At 41.0% G+C, this 22,598-nt stretch overlaps 1 protein-coding gene and 1 pseudogene across 4 annotated transcripts in view; both read right to left on the bottom strand.

Annotated features, from left to right (window-relative positions):
- The window catches only part of VKORC1L1 (vitamin K epoxide reductase complex subunit 1L1), a 93,787-nt gene that overhangs the window by 11,111 nt on the left and 60,078 nt on the right, over window positions 1–22,598 (bottom strand). The gene's annotated exons all lie outside the window — the stretch shown is intronic.
- HNRNPA1P75 (heterogeneous nuclear ribonucleoprotein A1 pseudogene 75) lies at window positions 9,086–9,688 on the bottom strand (annotated as a pseudogene).

Below are 22,598 nucleotides of genomic sequence, written 5' to 3'. Positions count from 1 at the left end.
ACCCATCTGAATCTCTCAGTTGCCAATTTCTATATATTCTCTTCTCCAGAAGGTAGGGCAAAGTATTCGTTTTCCAATGGCATTAGTATTTGCAGAAGGAGACTTCTCTATGCAGAAGGAGACAGTTGTCCACTGTCTCTTAACAGTGGACTACTGACATTTTGGGCTAGATAATTCTTTGTGCTGTGGGGTGTTCTGTGCATTACATAACTAACAGTACCCCAGAGCTCCCCCAACTAGATGCTGCCAGTACTCCTCCATCCCAGGTGTGACTACCAAAAATGCAGTCACAGCCATTGCCAAACATCCGCTGGGACACGACTGCCCCCAGTTGAAAACCATAGAATGTAAGTTGTGCTATTTATTCACTCAAAGAATATAGATTGAAAAGTTGTTTCTTCACAAATTTCACCAGGATATGCATTAAGAAATATACTGGGAATGTATTTTTTAAATGTAGGGCCGGGCCCGTGGATCACACCTATAATCCCACCACCTTGGGAGGCCGAGGCGAGCAGATCACAAGGTCAAGAGTTCGAGACCAGGCTGGCCAGCATGGTGAAACCCGTCTCTACTCAAAATACAAAAAATTAGCCGGACATGGTGGTGTGCACCTGTAATCCCAGCTAGTTGGGAGACTAAGGCAGGAGAATCACTTGAACCCTGGAAGCAGAGGTTGCAGTGGGCCGAGACTGCACCACTGCACTCCAGCCTGGGCAACAAGAGCAAAACTCCATTTCAAAAAAAAAAAATGCAGGATAATATCAGAAACTATAGGTCTTTCCTGGAATCCTATCTCAGATGTAAAAAACTGGATACATTATATGCCCTATCAGTTTTTATTTGCAATTTAACTTTAAATCTTGCATTTGACTTAACATTTTTAAAACCTGATTTTTTTTAAATTGTTAACTTATTTGATAAAACTTGATACAAATATCAAACATTCATTTTGAATAAAAAACCTTTAAAGATAATGTTAACTCTGGATTGAACGAGAGTGCTTCTTAAATACTAAAAAAAAAAAAAAAAACCAGTTATGGTGTTAAGTCAGTAGAGAATCAGTCTAAACAAAATCTAAACTTTGGTTCTGAAGACAAACTGCCCCAAAGCAAGGATAAATAAGTAATTCTTCACAGGCCACAATAGTTTAATAGCACTTGATGCCCAAGATATAGAATGAAACCCCTGTATAACGATGATGTTGGGAGAGAAAAATCACCCCGATTTTACAAACAAGTGAAAGCCATGAAGATTTTTATTGTAGAATTATGCAATCCTTTTTGTTTGTTTTGTTTTGTTTTGTTTTTTTGAGACAGGATGTTCCTCTGTTGCCCAGGCTACAGTGCAGTTGCAATCATGACTCACTGCAGCCTTGACCTCCGAGGTTCAAGTGATTCTCCTGCCTCAGCCTCCCGAAGTAGCTGAGACTACCACACCCAGCTATATATATATATTTTTTTTTTGGTATTTTTTTATAGAGTTGCAGCTTTGCCATGTGCCAAGGCTGGTCTTGAAGTACTGGACTCAAGCAATCCTCCCACCTTGGCCTCCCAAAGTGCTGGGATTACAGGCTGAGCTATGACACCCAGCCTTCAGTTATACATTTCAAAGAACATAAAATAATTTCCATTATATTCATTTATTCTTTCACTCATCTAAATACTTATTGAGCATGTACTGTGTGCACTGACGCTACGTGCCGGGGATCCAGAAGTGAACGAGCCAGACGAGGTGCTGCCCTTGTGGACCTTAAATTCTATTTAGGGAAGAGAAATAATAAACAGGTAAACAAATGCCAGATTACCTGCAGCAATGGACACACCTTGTAACAGATACACAGGAAAATTAGAAGGGGAAACTCTAGATCAGTGCTTCTGAAATTTTTAAAGCACAATCACTCTGGGGTCTGGTTAAAATGTAGCTGTTCCTTCAGTGGGTCTGTGGTGGGGCCTAAGACTCTGCATTTCCAGAGAAAACACAACACAAAATGAAATGCTTGCAGGCAACACTGACGCTTCTGGTCTGAAGCCCACACTTGGAGATCCATAGCTGTGGGCAGAGAAGGGGTGCAGCAAGCTCCTCTAGCTTGATGGTCGGGAAGGACCTTTTCCAGGAATGAAGTTTTGAATGAGATCCTGAGTGATGGTAAGCAATCGGTCTCATGAGCAATGGCAAGTCAAAGGCCTTGAGGTAGGAATGAGCTGTGGGTGTGCCAAGGAAGGCCACTGAGGCTGGGGCATGGTGATTGAGGAGAGTGACAGGAGAACTGGGAGCGAGTCCAATCATTTACATTATTTAGGGCCTTGTGTGTAGGCCATGCCGAAGAGTTTGAATTTTATTCTAATTGCTATGAAAGACGTTTAGTAGCTTTCAAACTGGAGAGTGAGATAAGCTTATTTATGATCACTCTTCGCTGCTGCATAAAGAACAAACTGCTGGAGGCCAGAGTACAGATGGGGAAACTATATGTAATCAAACCTCTTAGCCCTACTCATCCCAGGCAGGAATTCCAATTTAAATCACTGCCTTTGGCAACAGAAATAAATGGCATACTGCCAAAATTATCATGGCTAAACAGAATTTTTATATATTCAAAGCACTGGTCTATGCCTGATTATTCATGTAAGATCACATGGGTATTTTCCTCGAAAACAATGTGGCAATCCACAAATGAATATATTATCAAAGTTATACATGCATAAGGTTTCAAAATAAAATAAAATCAAAGCCTTCTAATACAGAGATGTTCCCTCCTCCAGCCCTCCCCAAGTCAGTTCTCATCCCAGAGGCATCCACTTTGATGTCTGTTAACTGTTTCCACCTTTTTTTTTTGAGACGGAGTCTCATTCGTGTCGCCCAGGCTGGAGTGCAGTGGCGCGATCTCGGCTCACTGCAAGTTCCGCCTCCCAGGTTCAGGCCATTCTCCTGCCTCAGCCTCCCAAGTGGCTGGGACTACAGGCGCCCACCACCATGCCCAGCTAATTTTTTTGTATTTTTAGTAGAGATGGGGTTTCACCGTGTTAGCCAAGATGGTCTCGATCTGCTGACCTCGTGATCTGCCCGCCTCGGCCTCCCAAAGTGCTGGGATTACAGGCGTGAGCCACTGCGCCCGGCCCTGTTTTCACTCTTATTTACTTCCACATTTCTAAATAATATGTTTACATTGCTATTTTTTTTTTTCTTTTTGAGACAGTCTGGCTCTGTCGCCCAGGCTGGAGTGTAGCAGCGCAATCTCAGCTCAATGCAACCTTCACCACTTGGATTCAAGTGATTCTCCTGCCTCAGCCTTTTGAGTAGTTGGGATTACTAGCACCCGCCACCACGCCCAGCTAATTTTTGTATTTTCAGTAGAGATGGGGTTTCACCATGTTGGCCAGACTGGTCTTGAACACCTGACCTCAGGTCATCCGTACGCCTTGGCCTCCCAAAGTGCTAGGATTACAGGCATCAGCCACCGCACCCAGCCCTAAATATTATCTTTTGACTCGCTAATATGGTAAGCCAGAATGTTGCTTTTTTTTTTTTTTTGAGACGGGGTCTCACTCTGTCAATAATGTTAGAGTGCAGTGGTGCAATCTGCACTCATTGCAACCTCCACCTCCCAGTCTCAAGCAATTTTCCCTCCTCAGCCTCCCGAATAGCTGGCACCACAGGCATCCACCACCGTGCCTGGCTAATTTTTGTATTTTTGGTAGAGATGAGGTTTCATCATGTTGCCCAGGCTGGTCTCGAACTCCTGAGCTCAGGCATTCCACCTATTTTGGCCTCTGCAAATGCTGGGATTACAGGTGTGAGTTACTGTGGCCAGCCAAATATTGCTTTTTCTTAAAAAAAAAAATTATAGAAAACTTCAAATGCATATACACAAAGTGAGCACAAGAGTGTAATAAACACCCATGTATTATTTTGCTATGGTAAAGAGAAAGGGTACTATAAAAACAAAACGCATACAAAAAAACAAAAAAAACCCAGGTACCCATCACCCAGCTTCAATAATTACGCCTTTCTTGTTTCATCTCCACCTCTACATACTCATCACTTGAGAATTACTTTTAGTTCTTTTATTTTTATTTTTTGAGACAGAGTCTCATTCTGTCACCCAGGCCAGAGTGTAGTGGTGCTATCTCGGCTCACTGCAACCTCTGCCTCCCGGGTTCAAGTGAGACTCCTGTGTCAGCCTCCTAAAGTAGCTGGGATTACAGGCTCCCACCACCACGCAGGGCTAATTTTTTTTATTTTTGGTAGAGCCAGGGTTTCATCATGTTGCCCAGGCTGGTCTCATCTTCTAGATTCAAGTGATTCTCCTGCCTCAGCCTCCCAAGTAGCTGGACCACAGGCATGTTCCACCACACCTGGCTAATTTTTTGTAGTTTTTAGACCTCAAGTGATCCGCCCACTGAAGCCTCCCAAAGTGCTGGGATTACAGGCACAAGCCATTGTGCCCAGCCACAAGGAAGTTAAACTTCTGATTACCTTTATTTACTGATTTGTTATTGATATTTTGGAAATCATTTGCTTTTTCTTTGTTGTTTAAATTTTTGTTACTAATAAATATGCCATTATCTTGCTTTTACCACCTTAAGAATATCAACATTTATTCTTTAAAACAATAATCTTAAAATTATCTTTATTTTTATTTATTTATTTTTCAGACAGAGTTTCACTATTGTTGCCCAGGCTGGAGTGCAATGGCACAATCTCGACTCACTGCAACCTCTACCTCCCAGGTTCAAGGGATTCTCCTGCCTTAGCCTCCTGAGTAGCTGGGATTAAAGGTGCCTGCCACTACCCCACCTAATTTTTTTGCATTTTTAGTACAGTTGGGGTTTCACCACATTGGCCAGGCTGGTCTCGAACTCCTGACCATTAAAAAGGAAGAATGGACCTTGGAAAGTCTAAAAAGGTGGGAGAAACAATTATGAGGCTTAGATGGGTACATGTAAGATGCTCTGAGGAACTTAGTGGAAGATTTGTAAACTTATTTGGTAAGTTGCTGTTTTCATTATTTTTAATGTTATTACAGTTATATATAGTTTAAAAAAATCAGATAGTGCTACAAGACTTGGAACAAAAAGCAGCATTCTTCTGACCCCTGAGGTATCCTCCTTAGAAGCAACTCATTTTACTGGTTTCTCTCAATATTTACCCACAAATTTCTTTTTACAAAAATTCCTTATTATTTTTGTTTTTAAATTTAAAACATTTTTTTTTGTAGAGAGGGTTTCGCCATGTTGGCCAGGCTCGTCTCGAACTCCTGGGCTCAAGTGATCCTCCCACCTCAGCCTCCCAAAGTGCTGGGATTACAGGCATGAGCCACCAGGCCTGGCCACTTATTATTTTTGGATCATCTAGCACTGTATGCTAAACTAGACTATGATTTCGTAGACTTTCATTTCCCTATCCCCCTCCCAATTATACCATAATTTGTACTTATATCAAAATTTTTGGTTCTATCAGTATATATTGTTTATATGGTTATCACTATATTGTCTGACACAGAGCCCAGAATGATCTGTTCTAACAAGATTCTGTAGAGTAAATCAAGTCATAGGCGATCAGTAAATAGAAGAATGACAGTAACACAACACCAAGTTGCACGGTCCAGACATCATTTTCCCCAGCATGTTAAAAGTGCTCATGCCTGGAATCCCAGCACTTTGGGAGGCCGAGGTAGGCAGATCACTTAAGGTCAGGAGTTTGAGACCAGCCTGGCCAACATGGCGAAACCCCGTCTCTACTAAAAATACAAAAATTATGCAGATGTGCTGGCGGGCGCCTGTAATCCCAGCTACTTGGGAGACTGAGGCAGAAAAATCGCTTGAACCCAGGACGCAAGCCGAGATTGCGCCACTGCACTCCAGCCTAGGTGAAAGAGCACGACTCCATCTCGATTAAAAGAAAAAAAGAAAAGAAAAGAAAAAAATTCAACAAGTCTTTTTTTTTTTTTTTTTTTGAGATGGAGTCTCGCTCTGTCACCCAGGCCGGTGTGCAGTGGCGTGGTCTTGGCTCACTGCAAGCTCCGCCTCCCGGGTTCATGCCATTTTCCTGCCTCAGCCTCCCAAGTAGCTGGGACTATAGGTGCCCGCCACCATGTCAGGCTAGTTTTTTTTTTGGCATTTTTAGTAGAGATGGGGTTTCACCGTGTTAGCCAGGGTGGTCTCAATCTCCTGACCTCATGATCCGCTCGTCTCAGCCTCCCAAAGTGCTGGGATTACAGGTGTGAGTCACTGCATCCGGCCAACAAGTCTTTAAACTCTGTCAGTAGTTTTACTAGAAATATCATTGCTTTCATCCTCTGGTCCCAAGATTACATTGGTTTTGAGTGGTCTGCTCCATTCCTGTCCCATAACCTCTGGTACTTTTTAAAAATACTTTTTATTGGAGCATCATTATACATCATAAAGTACAGGTGTATGAAGTTCAGTTAATTTCTATGAGCTGAACACATGCGTGAATCAGTAGCCGGATGAAGAAACAGCAATACGGCTAGGCGCAGTGGCTCACGCCTGTAATTCCAACACTTTGGGAGGCCAAAGCAGGTGGAGCAATTGAGGCCAAGATTTCAAGACTAGCCTGGCCAGCATGGTGAAATCCCATCTCTACTCAAATACGTGGTAGCACTCGCCTTATAGTCCCAGCTACTTGGGAGGCTGAGGCAGATAATCGCTTGAACCCGAGAGGGAGAGGTTATAGTGAGCCGAGATCACGCCACTGCACCCCAGCCTGGATGATAGAGCAAAACTCTCAAAAAAAAAAAAAAAAAAAAAAAAACCTTAAGAAAAAGAAACACAACAATACCAGCAGCACCTTAGAGGCACCCATTCCCTTCTTCCAGTTACCCTTCCTCCCCCAGAATAACCACTCTCCTGGGGTCTTTCTAAAAAATATTATATTAACATCATAATATACCAAACAGTATAGTAAATATAAAATAAGCGTACAAAAATACATTGAATAATGTATTTTTAAAAATTATTTTTTACAAGGCACATACCCTTATAGCCACACCCACATCTAGAAATAGAACTTTGGCAGGGCATGGTGGCTCATGCCTGTAATCCAGCACTTTGGGAGGCCATGGTGGGAGAACTGCTTAAGCCCAGGAGTTCAAGATCAGCCTGGGCAACATTATGAGACTCTGTCGCTACCTAAAAAAAGAAGAAAGAAAAAAAATTGCTGGGCGTGATGGCACATGCCTGTAGTCCCAGCTACTTGGAAGGCTGATCACTTGAGCCCAGGAGTTTGAGGCTGCAAGCAATGAGCTATGATTGTGCCACTGTACTGCAGCCTGGGTGACAGAGTGAGAGCCTGTCTTAAAAGAAAAGAAAAAAAAGAAATAGAACTTTGCTAGCCCCTGTCTGTGCCCCAATGCAATTAAACACCTCTTCTTTCCTCTAAAAGCACTAACTATCCCAACTTTTATCCTTAGTTTCTCTAAGGATTGACAAGTGAGCATTCCTAGACACTATATAGTTTAATCCCCACTCTCATTCTATTTTACTTGATATGTTGTTTAGGACTCTCTTAAGCTATAGGTTCCTTGCTCTGGTATTTTTAGGGCTCAATTCCGTAGAAAATAAATTTTTCCAGGGACATGTTATACTGTCCATCACAAAAATATCTATAATTAGCTGTCATCATATTTCCTTTTGAGCACAAATTGCTTTTCATGGAGTTATGAATTTATATTTTGTTTGCTTAGTTTTCTATGTCACTATTATTGGTCTTCTGAACCCCTTCTGAGCAATACTTTAAACAAGATCAACCATGTGAAGGAATCTATGATTTGCATCTTTCTCTGAAGACATCTCTCTTGGAGCCCTTGCCTTCCTGGAGCACTCTGGATGACATGTCAGGCTGGCTACTCTCTGGTCCTGCTGCAGCTGTCGTCCTAAGACTTCCAATCTCTTCCCCACACTGAATCTTCCATTTCTTATATTTGGTGTCTTCCATTTCTCCTTGGTTTACTTTACTTGGTGGCACAATCCTCTAATAGTTTCTTTCCTTGAGAAAATACACACTGGAGGTCAAATTTCTGAGATGCTGGACATCTAAAAATATCTTTCTTCTGCTATCATAATTGATTGATTGTTTGGGTATGTAATTATACATTAAAAATAAGTTTCTGGCTAGGTGTGATGGCTTATGCCTGTTATTGCAGAACTTTGGGAGGTTCAGGATTGCTTGAGGACAGGAATTCCAGACCAGCCTGGGCAACATGGTGAGACCCCATCTCTAGAAAACATAAAAAAATTAGCTAGGTGTGGTGGCACACACCTGTAGCCCCAGCTACTCGGGCAGCTGGGGTAGGTTGACTGCTTGAGTCCAGCAGTTCGAGGCCACAGTGAACAAGGATCACATCGCTCCATTCCGGCCTGGGTGACAGAGTGAGACCCTGTCACAAAAACATAAAAACTAAAAAAAAAAAGACAATTTTCCCTCAGAATGTTTTAAAGACACATTTCTTTAGCGTCATGATCAGACTATTACATTTGGCAATCAACAGCATGGGTGCAAAAATAGTCTACATTAAAATTCTTTGTTGGACTGTTTTCAGTTTCCAGAGAACAGAAACTAAAATGCCCTGTTATACAATTACAGCCCCCGAGTCTTTTGCCCATACACATGAGTATTGTCTGAAGCATATCCCTGAAGCAGCTAGGCCCTGACACCACTGTGCCTGGTTGAGTTCGCAAATCTGTTGTAACCTGTGGCTTCCCTGTCGCTGCTCTGGCTAAGCCTTGTTTCTCCTGCTAAGCCTTGTTTCCGGCAGAAATGAATGCCCTCTGCCTCTGCCATACCTACTGCTGCTACTGCAACCACCACAGCCACCTTGGTTTCAGGGTTTGGCAAAATATTGGCTTCCACCACCATAGGGGCCAGAGCTTCTGCCTCCAAAGTTTTTTCTCTTTATAGGTCCAAAATTTGAAGACTGACTGTTGTAACTGCCAAAATCACTGTCACTTCCACCACATCCAAAATTGCTTCCATTATTACCAAATCCATGATAGCCATCCCCACTGCCACCATATCCACCACCATCATGGTTGGCATGAAAGCCACCATGACCAAACTTGTCACTTCCACCAAATCACCTCCACGACCACCACCAGTTTCCAGGACCCCTTTTACTTCTTTGGCTGGATGAGCCACCAGCCATGTCTTGCTGCAACCTGGACTTTCCTTACTTCACAGCCGTGGCCATTTACAGGATAGTATTTCTGAATGACAATCTTATCCACGGAGTCGTGGTCATCAAAGGTTATAAAAGCAAAGACCCTTTTCTTGCCACTGCCTCAGTCAGTTGTGATTTCAATCACTTCAATTTTCCTATCCTGTTCAAAATAATCTCTTACGTGATGTTCTTCGGTGTCCTGTTTAATGCCACCAACAAATATCTTTTCCACAGTCACATGGGCACCCAGTCTTTGAGAATCTTCTCTTCAGACAGCTCTCTGAGGTTCCACAGCTCTTCCAACCACCTGGTGTGGCCCTGATTCATGGCTGCATCCATCTCCTCCACAGTGGCAGATGACCAACCCAAAGCCCCCGGAGTGCTTGGAGTCTGGGTCTAGGACCACACAGTCATGAGCATTCCCCATGGTTCAGAAGGGCTCCCCGGACTCGGCTGTTTCAAGGCTTCGCTGTTTCAAGGCTTCCACAGCTGTTCGGGCTCTTTAGGAGACTCTGGTTTAGACATGCCCACAGTGGGAAGAGAGGCTTGAATGATGCTTCCTTGGCAGCACTGAAGGCCACAAATCCCTCAACATTTTTAAAGATACTCTTCCACCATCCTGCGTTCAGAGGTGGTTCTTGAAAATTCTGATGCTATTCTGAGCTTCGAATGTGACCTGTTTCTGCTCTAAGAATCTTCTTTTTAATCTGGGCATTCTCAAATTTCACAAAGGATGTGCCTTGTTGTGGGAGTTGAGTCATTCACTGTGAAGGGCTCTTTCAATGCAGAAATTCACATTATTCAATATTAGGAAATTTTCATACATTTCTTAGCCAAATGTTGGCCCTCTAATTTTCTTTGATCTTTTTTTCTATTTGCCCTCTTTTTCCTTTTACTCCATTTCTAGGAGATTACCATGATATACTCTCCCAAACCTGTTAAATTCATTTATTAAACTTATTGCTAACATATGTTTAATTTTATGTGTTCTCTCTTAGTCTCTGATTATTCCTTTTACATAAATAGCATCTTGTTTTAAGGATATCATTTTTTTTTTCTGAGATGGTTTTTTTTGAGACGGAGTCTCGCTCGGTCGCACAGCGGCTTGATCTCTGCTCACTGTAACCTCCGCCTCCTGGGTTCAAGCAATTCTCCTGCCTCAGCCTCCCAAGTAGCTGGGATTACCAGCACCCACCACCACACCTGGCTAATTTTTATATTTTCAGTAGAGACGGGGTTTCACCATGTTGGCAAGGATGGTCTCGAACTCCTGACCTCAAATGGTCCACTCACCTCAGCCTCCCAATGTGCTGGGATTACAGACACGAGCCACTGCACCCAGCCAAGGATATCACTTTTTCTTAGATCTAAGGAGATCAAATAATTTATGTTTATTTTAAGTTTATTTCTGGCTACTTCAATTTTTGGTTGCTCTGAGTTCCTTGGACATACATCCATATGTGTCTGTCTCTCATACTAGAGACTTTTCTCAAATGTTTGAGGACCATTAACCGTCTATTCATTTGTAAGACCAAGGCATTAAAAATCTGAGTGTCAGCCAGGCACACTGCCTCACGCCTGTAATGCCAGCACTTTGGGAGGCTGAGGTTGGAGGGATTGCTTGAACCCAGGAGTCTGAGACCAGCCTGGGCAACATGGCAAAACCCTGACTCTACCGAAACAAACAAACAAACCACCACCAAAAAAAATTAGCTGGATGTAGTGGCACACACCTGTAGTCCTAGCTACTAGGGAGGCTGAGGTGGGAGGATCACTTGAGCCCAGAGGTCAAGGCTGCAGTGAGCTGTGTTTGTGCTACTGCACTCCAGCCTAAAAGAATGAGATACTATCTCAAAAACAAAACAAAATAAAACAAAAAAAATCTGAATGCCAATTCCAGTGCTGGATAAAATGGAATATGCCCACTACAAGCTGCTCTTCCTGACAGGTTACAATTAAAAATTGGACAACACAAAAAGCAATTGAGGATTCTGAAAAGGAAAAATAGCTGGTTGATAGAGGAGAGTAAAAACTGGAAGATCAAGTAGTACACTGGAGTTTCTTGGGTTCTTTTCCCCTCTTCTTTGCAGAATTGCCCAAGGGGTAAGGTGTGTGAGGGGTCAGACAGCAAAACAACAACAACAACAACAACAAAACAAAACCCATAAAACTTCTTTCTGGCCAGAGGATGAGGACAAGAGATCCATGTGGGCTGGAGAGCATGATGACAGCGTACTTTCACATTCATTATTTTTTCCCTCTTGGCCTTGCCTAAAGGTTGGCCAGCAGTCCAGGCACCTCAAAGCCTGTCTCTTTCCCTGGAAGAAATGAGAGAAGGGGTCTCTGTGGCTGTAAGCATGTAAAAGGAATCCTGTTGTTTCTTCTCTTTTCTTTCACTGCCTCACTCTTCGGGTGAAGCCAGTCACATGGAACTGTGTGACAGAGAAGGAGGTTAAAACTGTCTGAGAGAAACCCATCTTTCTAGCAAGAGAAACAGCGAAAGGGGTGCCTGGGAGCCAGAGATGGGGAAGAAAATCCCAGCAAGGAAAGGACCAGAGAAGGGAATCCCTTAATTCTGTGTAGGAACTAACACAAGCCCCAGACTCACCCAAGTGGCACATGCATGGAATAGACCCCAAAGGCACAGCAAAGTCTCTCAGAAATAAACTATGATATAAACCATCATTCAAATTGCAGACAAATCACTGAGAGGCGCACATGAGGGCAAACTCAAACAGGATAGCAAACGCTTTTAAAATAAAACTGGCATTGAACCCATCACCCACAGAAGGAGAGGCAGAGCTTGTGAAACTGGATTGCCTGTTAAAACAAAGCAAAATCATTATTCTCCAGATGTTAACAGGACCCAGACTCTTAAACATACTCTTCAAAATACACTGACGATGCACTCCAAGATTATATGACATACAAAGAACTAGAAGAATGTTACCAGTTCTCAAGAGAAACAAACGATGATGAACAGATGTCAACCCTGAGATGACACAGATGCTGGAATTACCAGAATCAGATTTAAAACAGTTATTACATCTATGTTCCATAAGTGAAAGTAAAGAGAAATGACTGGGAAGATGGAAGTTCTCAGCAGAGAAAAAGTAACCATTAAAAAAAAAAATGGAAACTATAGAACTAAAAAATATAAGATCTGAAATTAAAAATCCACTAGATGAGGTCAATAGCAGAATGGAGATACCAAAGGGAAGATTCAGTGAGCTGAAAGATTAACAGAAATTATCCAATTTGAACAACAGAGAGGAAAAACATGTTAAAAAAAAAAGAATAGAGACTTAAAGAACAATCTTAAATATCAATCTGAAATATAGGACAGTATCAAAAGGTCTAACATTTATTTCACTGGACTTCTGGAAGGAGAAAGAAAGAGATTGATGCACAAAAAGGTATGAAAAAATAGTAGCTAATAACTTCCCAAATTTAGCCAAATATAAAAATTTATAGATTCAAAAACTCAGTTAACATGAGAGTTGATTAAACTCGAAGAATGCCACACCCAGACACATCATAACCAAACTACTAAAAACCAAAGACAGAAAAGCCCTTGAAAGCATCCAGAGAAAAATGACACATTATATAAGTAGACAAGAATTCAAATGCCTACCAATTTTGCATCAGAAACCATGAAGGGGGCCAGGTGCAGTGGCTCATGCCTGTAATCCCAGCACTTTGGGAGGCTGAGGCGGATGGATCACGAGGTCAGGAGATCGAAGATCATCCTGGCCAACATGGTGAAAACCCGTCTCTACTAAAAATACAAAAATTAGATGAGCGTGGTGGCGTGCGTCTGTAATTCCAGCTACTCGGGAGGCTGAGGCAGGAGAATCGCTTGAACTTGGGAGGCAGAGGTTGCAGTGAGCCAAGATCACGCCACTGCACTCCAGCCTGGTGACAGACCAAGCCTCCATCTCAAAAAAAAAAGAAACCATGGAGGCCGAAATCTTTAAAGTACTGAAAAGAACTGTCAACTGAGAATTCTACATCCCTCAAGATCTCTTTGAGGGATCAAGAACAATCAGACACTTCCAGAAGCAAGAAAATAAAGAGAACTTACTACCAGCAGACTGGCACTATGAGAAATGCTGAAGGAAGTTCTTCACATTGAAGGAGAATGACACCAGAGGGAAATATGAAATTTCAGAAATGGTAAATATCTGAAATAGACCCCCTTTTTTTTTTTTTTTTTGAGATGTAATCTCACACTGTCACCCAGGCTGGAGTGCAGTGGTGCGATCTCCACTCACTGCAACATCCACCTCCCGGGTTCAAGTGATTCTCCTGCCTCAGCCTCCTGAGTGGCTGGGATTACAGGCACCCACCACCACGCCCGGCTAATTTTTTGTATTTTTAGTAGAGACGGGGTTTCACTATGTTGGCAAGGCTGGTCTCGAACTCCTGACCTCGTGATCTGCCCGCCTTGGCCTCCTAAAATGCTGAGACCACAGGCATGAGCCACTGAGCCCAGCCTAGACTTTTTTTTAATATCTAAAGTGCTTTAACATTTGTAAGATTCTTCAGCCTTTAAAACGAGAGAAATTCTGTCATTGGTGACGTGGATGGAATTGGAGAACATTATGCTGGATGAAATAAGCCTGGCACAGAAAGCAAATACTGCATGTTTTCACTTACATGTGGAAACTAAGACAATTGAACTCATATAAGCAGAGAGTAGAATGGTGGTTATAGAGGCTGGGGGAGTGGGAGGAATGAAGAGATGGTGGTCAAAGGATACAAAAATCTCAGACAGGAGGAATAAGTTTTATTTTGAGATCTATTGCACAGCATAGTGAACATAGTAAATAATAGTGTGTTCTGCATTTCAAAACTGCCAAGAGAATAAATTTCGAATGTTCTCAACCACAAAAAATAAGTATTTGAGGTGATGGATATGTTAAGTAGCTTGATTTAATTATTCTATATTATATTGGTAAATTATAACATCATGTTGTACTCCATAAATATATACAATTATTGACTGTCAATTTACAATAAAATGATTTTTTTTTAAAGAGATGGGGGTCTCACTATGTTGCCCAGGCTGGTCTTGAACTTCTGGCCTCAAGTGATCCTCTCACCTCAGCCTCCCAAAGTGCTGGGATTACAGGCATGAGCCACCACACGCAGCTAATTTACATTAAAATTTTTAGAAAACTGACTAAAGATGCATCAAAAGATTTTTTTTCAGTTTAAAAACTTAAGATTGTTGGAAGCAAATGTAACATTGTGGAGTGGGGTTTTCAATATATGTAGATATAACACAAATGACAATTATAACATAAGGCGGGGGAGGATTAAGGAATCTTTATATTAATAGTTGTAAGATTTCTATATTCTCCTTAAAGTTGCTAAATATAAAATCTAACTAGAATACGAAAGGCTATGTGTGCATACTGTAATCTCTAGAGCTACCACATAAGAATTCACAGAGATAAAAATAAAAAGTCAATAGATAAAATACCAAAAAATACCAATATCTAAAAGGCATGAAATAGGGGAAAGGACAAACCAAAACAGAGAGGTTGACCTAAATCTAAACATACTAACAATTACATTAAAAGTAAATGGTCTGAATATACCAATAAAAGACATACATTGTCAAACTGAACTGAAAAGCAAAAAAGACCCAAGTATATGCTATTTACAAAAAACTCACTTTAAATATAATAACATAGGTTAAGAGTAAAAAGATGAAACAAGTTACATCATACAAACACTAATCAAAAGAAATCCAGAAAATGGTTAAAATGTAAACTTTATGTTGTATAAACTTTGCACAAGAAAAAAAACAAAAGGTACCGTGCTTGTATTAATACCAGAAAATGTAGTCTCCAGGACAAGGGAACTTACCAGAGAAGAAAGAGACATATAACGGTAAAAGGATCAATTAACCAAAAGGATAAAACAATCCTAAATATACAGAAATCTAATAAGAGAACTCCCAAATAAATGAAACAAAAACTAACAAAACTGAAAGAAAGAATAAATCCACAATTATACTTAAAGACTTCAATCTCTCTCTCTCTCAGTAATGGACAGAACAGGTGGGCAGAAGATCAGAAAGGATACAGGTCTGAAGAGAACCATCAAGCAACCTGATCTGACATTTACAAAATATTCTGCCCAACAACAGCCGACACACTTTTTTTTTTTTTTTTTTTTTTTGAGACGAAGTCTTATTCTGTTGCCCAGGCTGGAGTGCAGTGGCGCGATCTCGGCTCACTGCAACCTCCATCCCTTGGGTTCAAGCAATTCTCCTGCCTCAGCCTCCCGAGTAGCTGGGATTACAGGCACCTGCCATTGTGCCTGGCTAATTTTTGTATTTTTAGTAGACATGGGGTTTCATCATCTTGGCCAGGCTGGTCTTGAACTCCTGACCTCGTGATCCACCCGCCTTGGCCTCCCAAAGTGCTGGGATTACAGGCATGAGCCACTGCGCCCAGCTGCACACACATTCCTTACAAATACACATGGAAGTTTCATCAAGATAGACCACATCGTAAACAAAACATAAACATATCATAAACAAACTTCAAGTTTAAAATAACTGAAATTGTACAAAGTATGTCCTCTGACCATAATAGAATTAAACTAGAACTCATACAGAAAGATATCTTCAAAATGTTCAACTCTTTGAAAACTGAACAATAGATTCATGGATCAAAGAGGAAGTCTCAAGGAAATAACAAATTTTGAACTGAATAAAAATATAACAAATTAAAATTGGTGTTATGCAGCTAAAGTAGTGCTGAGAGAGAAATTTATAGCATTAAAATGCTTATATTAGAAAGGAAAGTTTAAAATTATTACTCCAAGCTACCACCTTAAAAAATGACAAAAAGAACAGGCCAGGTGTAGTGGCTCACCCTGTAATCTCAGCACTCTGGGAGGCCAAGGTGGATGGATCACTTGAGCTCAGATGTTCGAGACCAGCCTGGCCAACATGGTGAAACCCTGTCTCTACCAAAAATACAAAAATTAGCTGGAGGTGGTGGCGGGTGCCTGTAATGTCAGCTGGTTGGGAGGCTGAGGCAGGAGAATTACTGGAACCCGGGAGGCAGAGGTTGCCATGAGCTGAGTTCGTGCCACTGCACTCCAGCCTGGGCAACAGCATGATACCCTGCCTCAAAACAACAACAACAACAAACCCAAAGAACAATTTAGATCTAAAGCAAGCAGAACGAAGGAAAGCAAAACAAAACTTAGAGCAGAAATTAATGAAATTTAAAACAGAAAAACAATAGAGAAAATAAATGAAACCAAAGGCTGGTTCTTTGAAATGATCAAGAAAATCAATAAATGGGCTGGGCATGGTGGCTCATGCCTGCAATTCCAGCTCTTTAGGAGGCTGAGGCCAGGGATCACCTGAGGTCAGGAGTTTGAGACCAGCCTGGCCAACATGGTGAAACCCTGTCTCTACTAAAAATATAAAAAGTAGCCGGGCATGGTGGTGGATGTCTGTAATCCCAGCTATTCTGCAGGTCAAGGCATGAGAATTCCTTGAACCTGGGAGGCAGAGGTTGCAGTGAGCCGAGATCACCCCACGGCACTCCAGCTTGGGACACAGAGCGAGACTGCATCTCAAAAAAAGAAAAAGAAAATCAATAAACCTCTAGCTAACCTTTATTGATAAACCTCTGACAAAAGAATAAAAAAACAAGATACAAAGTATTAATATCAGAAATGAAAGAAGGGATATCACTAGACACAGTTATATACATTAAGAGGATAATAAAGGAACTCTATGCCCATAAATTTGACAACTTAGATGAAAAGGACCAATACTTTGAAATTCACAAATATCAAAACTCACTCAAGAAATACAGAATCTGAATATTCCTATTACTAGTTAAAAATCTTGAAAGAAAACAAAAACTGCAGGTCCAGATGGTTTCACTGGCAAATTCTACCAAATATATACGAAGTAATACCAATTGTACACAATCTCTTCCAGAAAACAGAAGAGGAGGGAACACTTCTTAACTCATTTTGTAAGGCTAGCTTTACCCTGACATCAAAACCATATAAAAGCATTAAAAGAAAAAAAGGAAAAAAAAAACCACCACAGACCAATATCATTCATGAAAATAGACTCTTAAAACCCCTCAACAAAATATGGTAAATCAAATCCAGCAATATACAGAAAGGATAATATATCATGACCAAGTGGGATTAATTTTGGAAATGCAAGGCAGGTCTGACATTTAAAAACCAATCAGCGTAATTCATCATGTTAACAGACTGAAGAAAAACCATATGATCATCTCAATAGATGCAGATAATATATTTGACAAAATACAAAATCTATTCATGATTAAATTTCTCTGCAAGCTAGGAAGAGAGGCAATTTTCCTTGATTTGATAAAGGTCATCTAAAATACTCCTACAGTTAACATCACATTCAATGGGGAAAGACGAAATTCTTTCTCCCTAAGATAGGAAGAAGGCAAGGATGTCTGCTCTCACCACTCCTACTCAACATTGTACTGAAAGACCTTAGCCAGTAAAATAAAGGAAGAAAAAAAAATCAAAGGCATACAGATCAGAAAAGAAGGAATAAAACTCAATTTGTAGATGGCACAATTGTCTATATAGAAAATCCCAAGTGAGACTGAATACAAAAATGGACGATGCCTAAACCATATATACATACAGAACTCTGACCCACAATTTCTGCAGCCACCAACCAAGGAAGCCAAACTACAACCGCTGTAGCAATCAGTTCCAAACAGCCAATGCTTGATCAATAACTGCATGCTTCCCTAATTTTTGCTGTTTCCAATTTAGGAACAAGCACAGCAAGCCAAATACGCTCCCCTAACCACTCACTCAGGAGGACTCACTTCTAGCGAGCCTTGCTTCCAGCTCCTCCACGCCAACAACTTCCAGTCAGGGCACACCTGAAGTCTTTTCTTTCTTCCACTCTAAAGCTTTTACACTCCTCTTTAAGAATCCCATTTGAGTCTATGCCAAATGCAAATAGTAGTGACTGATGACCTTCCTATAGCAAGCTCTGAATAATAGCTTTACTCATCCTCATTTGAGTGGTCTCATTTCCACATAAGGAAAATGCAAAAGAGCTTCTAGAATTAAGAAGTTTATAAGGTTACCCGGCACAAGACCAATATACAAAAATCAAAATTATGTTTCTTTATTCTAGTAATGAACTATTAGAAATAAAAATATTTGTAATATAATTTATAATAGCACACACAGACAAATACATAGGCACATATCTAACAAAATACGTGTAGTATTTATAAGCTGAAAATTATAAAACTGATAAAAATAAAGACAACCTATATACATAGAGATATTATGTTTGTGGATTGGAAGACTAAATATTTTTAGGATATTAATTATCCTCAGATTGATCTCTGCACTCAATGCAAGCTAACCAAAATATCAGTAGGGGTCAGGCATGGTGGCTCACAACTACAATCCCAGCACTTTGGGAGGCCAAGGCAGGAGGATCACTTGAGCCCAGGAGAACCTGTCTCTACAAAAAAAAATTTTTAAAAGTAAAGTTAAAAAAAACCATATATATATATATATATATACACACACACACATACACACACACACATACATATATATATATATCAGTAGCATTTTTTTGTGGATAGTGACAAATGTTACACAGAAAAGTGAAGAAACTAGAAAAGCCGAAACAGTTTTGAAAAATAAAGTTGGTGAACACATACTAACTTCAAGATGTTGTAAAGCTACTGTAATCAAGACAGTGTGGTAGTGGTGAAAGGACAGACACAATGATCAGCAGAGAAGAATACAGAGCTCAGAAACAGACACAACTGATTTTTATTTTATTTTTTGAGACAGAGTCTCCCTGTCACCCAGGCTACAGTGCAGTGGCGCGATCTCGGCTCACTGCAACCTCTGCCTCCAGGGTTCAAGCTATTCTCCCACCTCACCCTCCTGAATAGGTGGATTACAGGTGCCTCCCACCACACCCAGCTAATTTTTTTTGGTATTTCTAGTAGAGATGAGGTTTCACCATGTTGGCCAGGCTGGTCTTGAACTCCTGACCTCAGGTGATGCGTCTGCCTCAGCCTTCCAAAGTGCTGGGATTACAGGCGTGAGCTACCATGCCCAGCCCTCTTTTTTCAAAAACTCTTAAAAACTGAACCATAAGGAAACAAACAATCTAATTTGTTTAAAGGCAAAAGATTTAAACAAACAAGTCACCAAATATATATAGATGGCATATAAGCACATGGAAAGATGCCCATTATCTTTAGTTATTAGAGAAATACAAATGAGAATCCCAATGATACACCACTACACACCTACCAGAAGAGCAAATAAACATAACAAAATAAATACCCAAGTACTGGTGAGGATGTGGAGCAACTGAAACTCTCACACATTGCTGGTGGTCACACAAAATAGTATGGAAATCAAATTGGGAGTTTCCTATGAAGTTAAACATATACTTATCATATGACCCAGCAATCCTCACCCTCTCCACCCCATTTACTCAAGAGAAGCAAAAATTTATGCTCACCCAAAAACCTGTTTGGAAACGTAGAGTAGCTTTATTTATAATTGTCCCACACGTAAGCAACACAATTGTCCTTCAATGGGTGAATGGATGAATACACTGGTACATACCATGGACTATCACTCAGCAATAAAAAGGAATTGTTTCATTTGGTGATACATGAAACAACACGGATAAATCTCAAATACATGTGAACAAAGTGAGACTCAAAGACTAGACAGTATAAAATTCCATTTAAGTGATATTCTGGAAAAGGTAAAACTATGAGGGTAGAGAATAAACACATGCCAGGAGTTAGGGATGGGGAAAGCCTGACTACAAAAGGGAATTGTTCTATGCCAGGAGCACATGCCTGTAATCCCAGCTATCAGGGAAGCTGAGGTGAGAGGATCTCTTGATCCCAGGAGTTCAAGACCAGCCTGGGTATCACAGTGAGACCCCATCTGAAAAAAAAAAAAAAAAAAAAGAAGGAAAAAAGGTAGGGGTAGGGATTGTTTTGATGTTGATGCTAATAGTGGCTACATGACTATACATGTTTCTCTAAACTCAACAAACTATAAACCAAATAGTGAATATCACTGTATAGAAGCTTAAAATTTTCTTCCCATTAAAAAAAAATTCAATAGTTCTTGGGGCATGTAGAAAATAACCTATATGTGGCAGTCCACTTTCAATTCTAAGTGCCTTACTATAGGTTTAAACAGCCTTCACGGAAATAAAGAGATAAAGAAGCAGAGTGTACTGAGCCAACACCGCTCCCTCCTCCTTCCTGCCTCCCCTTTCACCCAGCAGCCAGGCGCCTATCAGTTGGGGCCCCCTTAACTACCCTCTCCCCACCCCACCAAATAATTTAGTTTAGGCTATCTTGCAACATAAATAATTGTACCCTTTCTTATCAGCTAAGTGCAGCCACTAGGGCCAAAAGACAAATGTTTGGAGAGTGCTGAGACTGTTGCAATGCATGGTGGGCTACAATAAAATGCAGCAGAAAGATCCTAAAGAACATACTTGAAATCTTAATCCAACTACCAATAGGCGAAGTCTGGGAAGATTGTAAACCTGCAGTACTCAGCCAATGAGCAACTGGGGGAGGGACCTGCACACGAGGGGATAAATGGCTTGTTGTGACTGTGCTGGGTGTGCCTGTCCACCAGACACCTTATCTTGCAAGGCTGCCATTCAAAGTCTCACTTTTCGCTGTTCTCCTGGTCTCTGAGTCCATTCTTTGGGTTTGGACAGATGAGTTTGTTTCTCACAGGTACAAGAGGTTATTGGTTGACATGGATGAATTATACAATATATAAAATCCCAGAATCCACTATATATAGTGAATCCATATCCATCCTACATATAGTGAATTCTGGGATTTTAGTACACTTGTCACCCAATTAGTGTACATTGTACCCATTATGATTTTTTTTTTTCCTTTTTTTGAGACACCATCTCACTCTTGTTGCCCAGGCTGGAGTGCAGTGGCACGATCTTGGCTCACTGCAACCTTTGTCTTCCAGGTTCAAATGATTCTCCTGCCTCAGCCTCCCAAGTAGCTGGGACTACAGGCACCCACTACTATGCCCAGCAATTTTTCGTACTTTTAGTAGAGATGGGGTTTCACCATGTTGGCCAGGCTGGTCTTGAACTCCTGGCCTCAAGTGATCTGCCCTTCTCAGCCCCCCAAGGTGCAAGGATTACAGGCGTGAGCCACCATGCCTGGCCACACTATATGTGTATTATCCCTCACCTTTCTTCCAACCTCCCACTTCTGAATCTCCACAGTCTAGTATATCTAGTATATATACTGTTTGCCTTTGAGTACTCATAGCTTAGCTCCCACTTATAAGTGAGAACATATTGTTTTTGGTTTTCCCTTCCTGAGTTACTTCACTGAGGATAATGGCCTCCAGCTCCATCCAAGTTGCTGCAAAAGCCATTACTTTATTCCTTTTTATGGCTGAGTAGTATTCCCTGATGTATATATACCACATTTTCTGTATTCACTCATTGGTCCAGTGGGCACTTAGGCTTGTGCCATGTCTTTGCAATTGTGAATTGTGCTGCTATAAACATGCATGTGCAGGTGTCTTTTTCATAGAATGACTTCTTTTCCTCTGGGTAGATACCCAGGAGTGGGACTGCTGGATCAAATGGTAGTTAGTTCTACTTTTAGTTCTTTAAGAAATCTCCATACTGTTTTCCAAAGAGGTTGTATTAATTTACATTCTCACCAGCAGTATGTAAGTGTTCCCTTGAAGCTTAAAAATTAATTAGGCTAAGTGTGGTGGCTCATGCATATAATCCCAGCACTTTGGGAGGCTGAGGCGGGCAGATCACAAGGTCAGGAGTTCAAGACCAGCCTGGCCAATATGGTGAAACCCCGTCTCTACTAAAACTACAAAAATTAGCTGGGCGTGGTGGCGGGTGCCTGTAGTCCCAGCTACCCTGGAGGCAGAGGCAGGAGAATCGCCTGAACCCAGGAGGCGGAGGTTGCAGTGAGCCAAGATGGTGCCACTTCACTCCAGCCTGGGCAACAGAGTGAGACTCTGTCTCAAATAATAATAATAATAATAATAATAATAATTCATTAAAATTTAAAGGCAGAATAGAATTCTTATTGAGTGTGGCTTTGTCAACACCCAACATATGTTACCATAGGTGAATAATTACAGATGTTACCATAGGTGAATAATTAAGCAGAGTTAATTATATCATTAGTGGTCCCCAAAGGTCAATATCTGTACATATTTTTTTCTAGAAAAAAATATTTCTCTCAGAAAAATCATTTCCACCAGCCTCCTACTTCTAGGGTACAGATTGGAATGAAGACGCTTGGCTGCCAGTGTTCTTGGACTCTGCCTATTTTCTCATTCTTTT

This window comes from Homo sapiens, chromosome 7, assembly GCF_000001405.40.
Source record: "Homo sapiens chromosome 7, GRCh38.p14 Primary Assembly".
Taxonomy (NCBI): Eukaryota; Metazoa; Chordata; class Mammalia; order Primates; family Hominidae; genus Homo; species Homo sapiens.
Note: the sequence above shows the minus strand (reverse complement) of the source record. Positions and strands in the feature narration are given on the sequence as shown.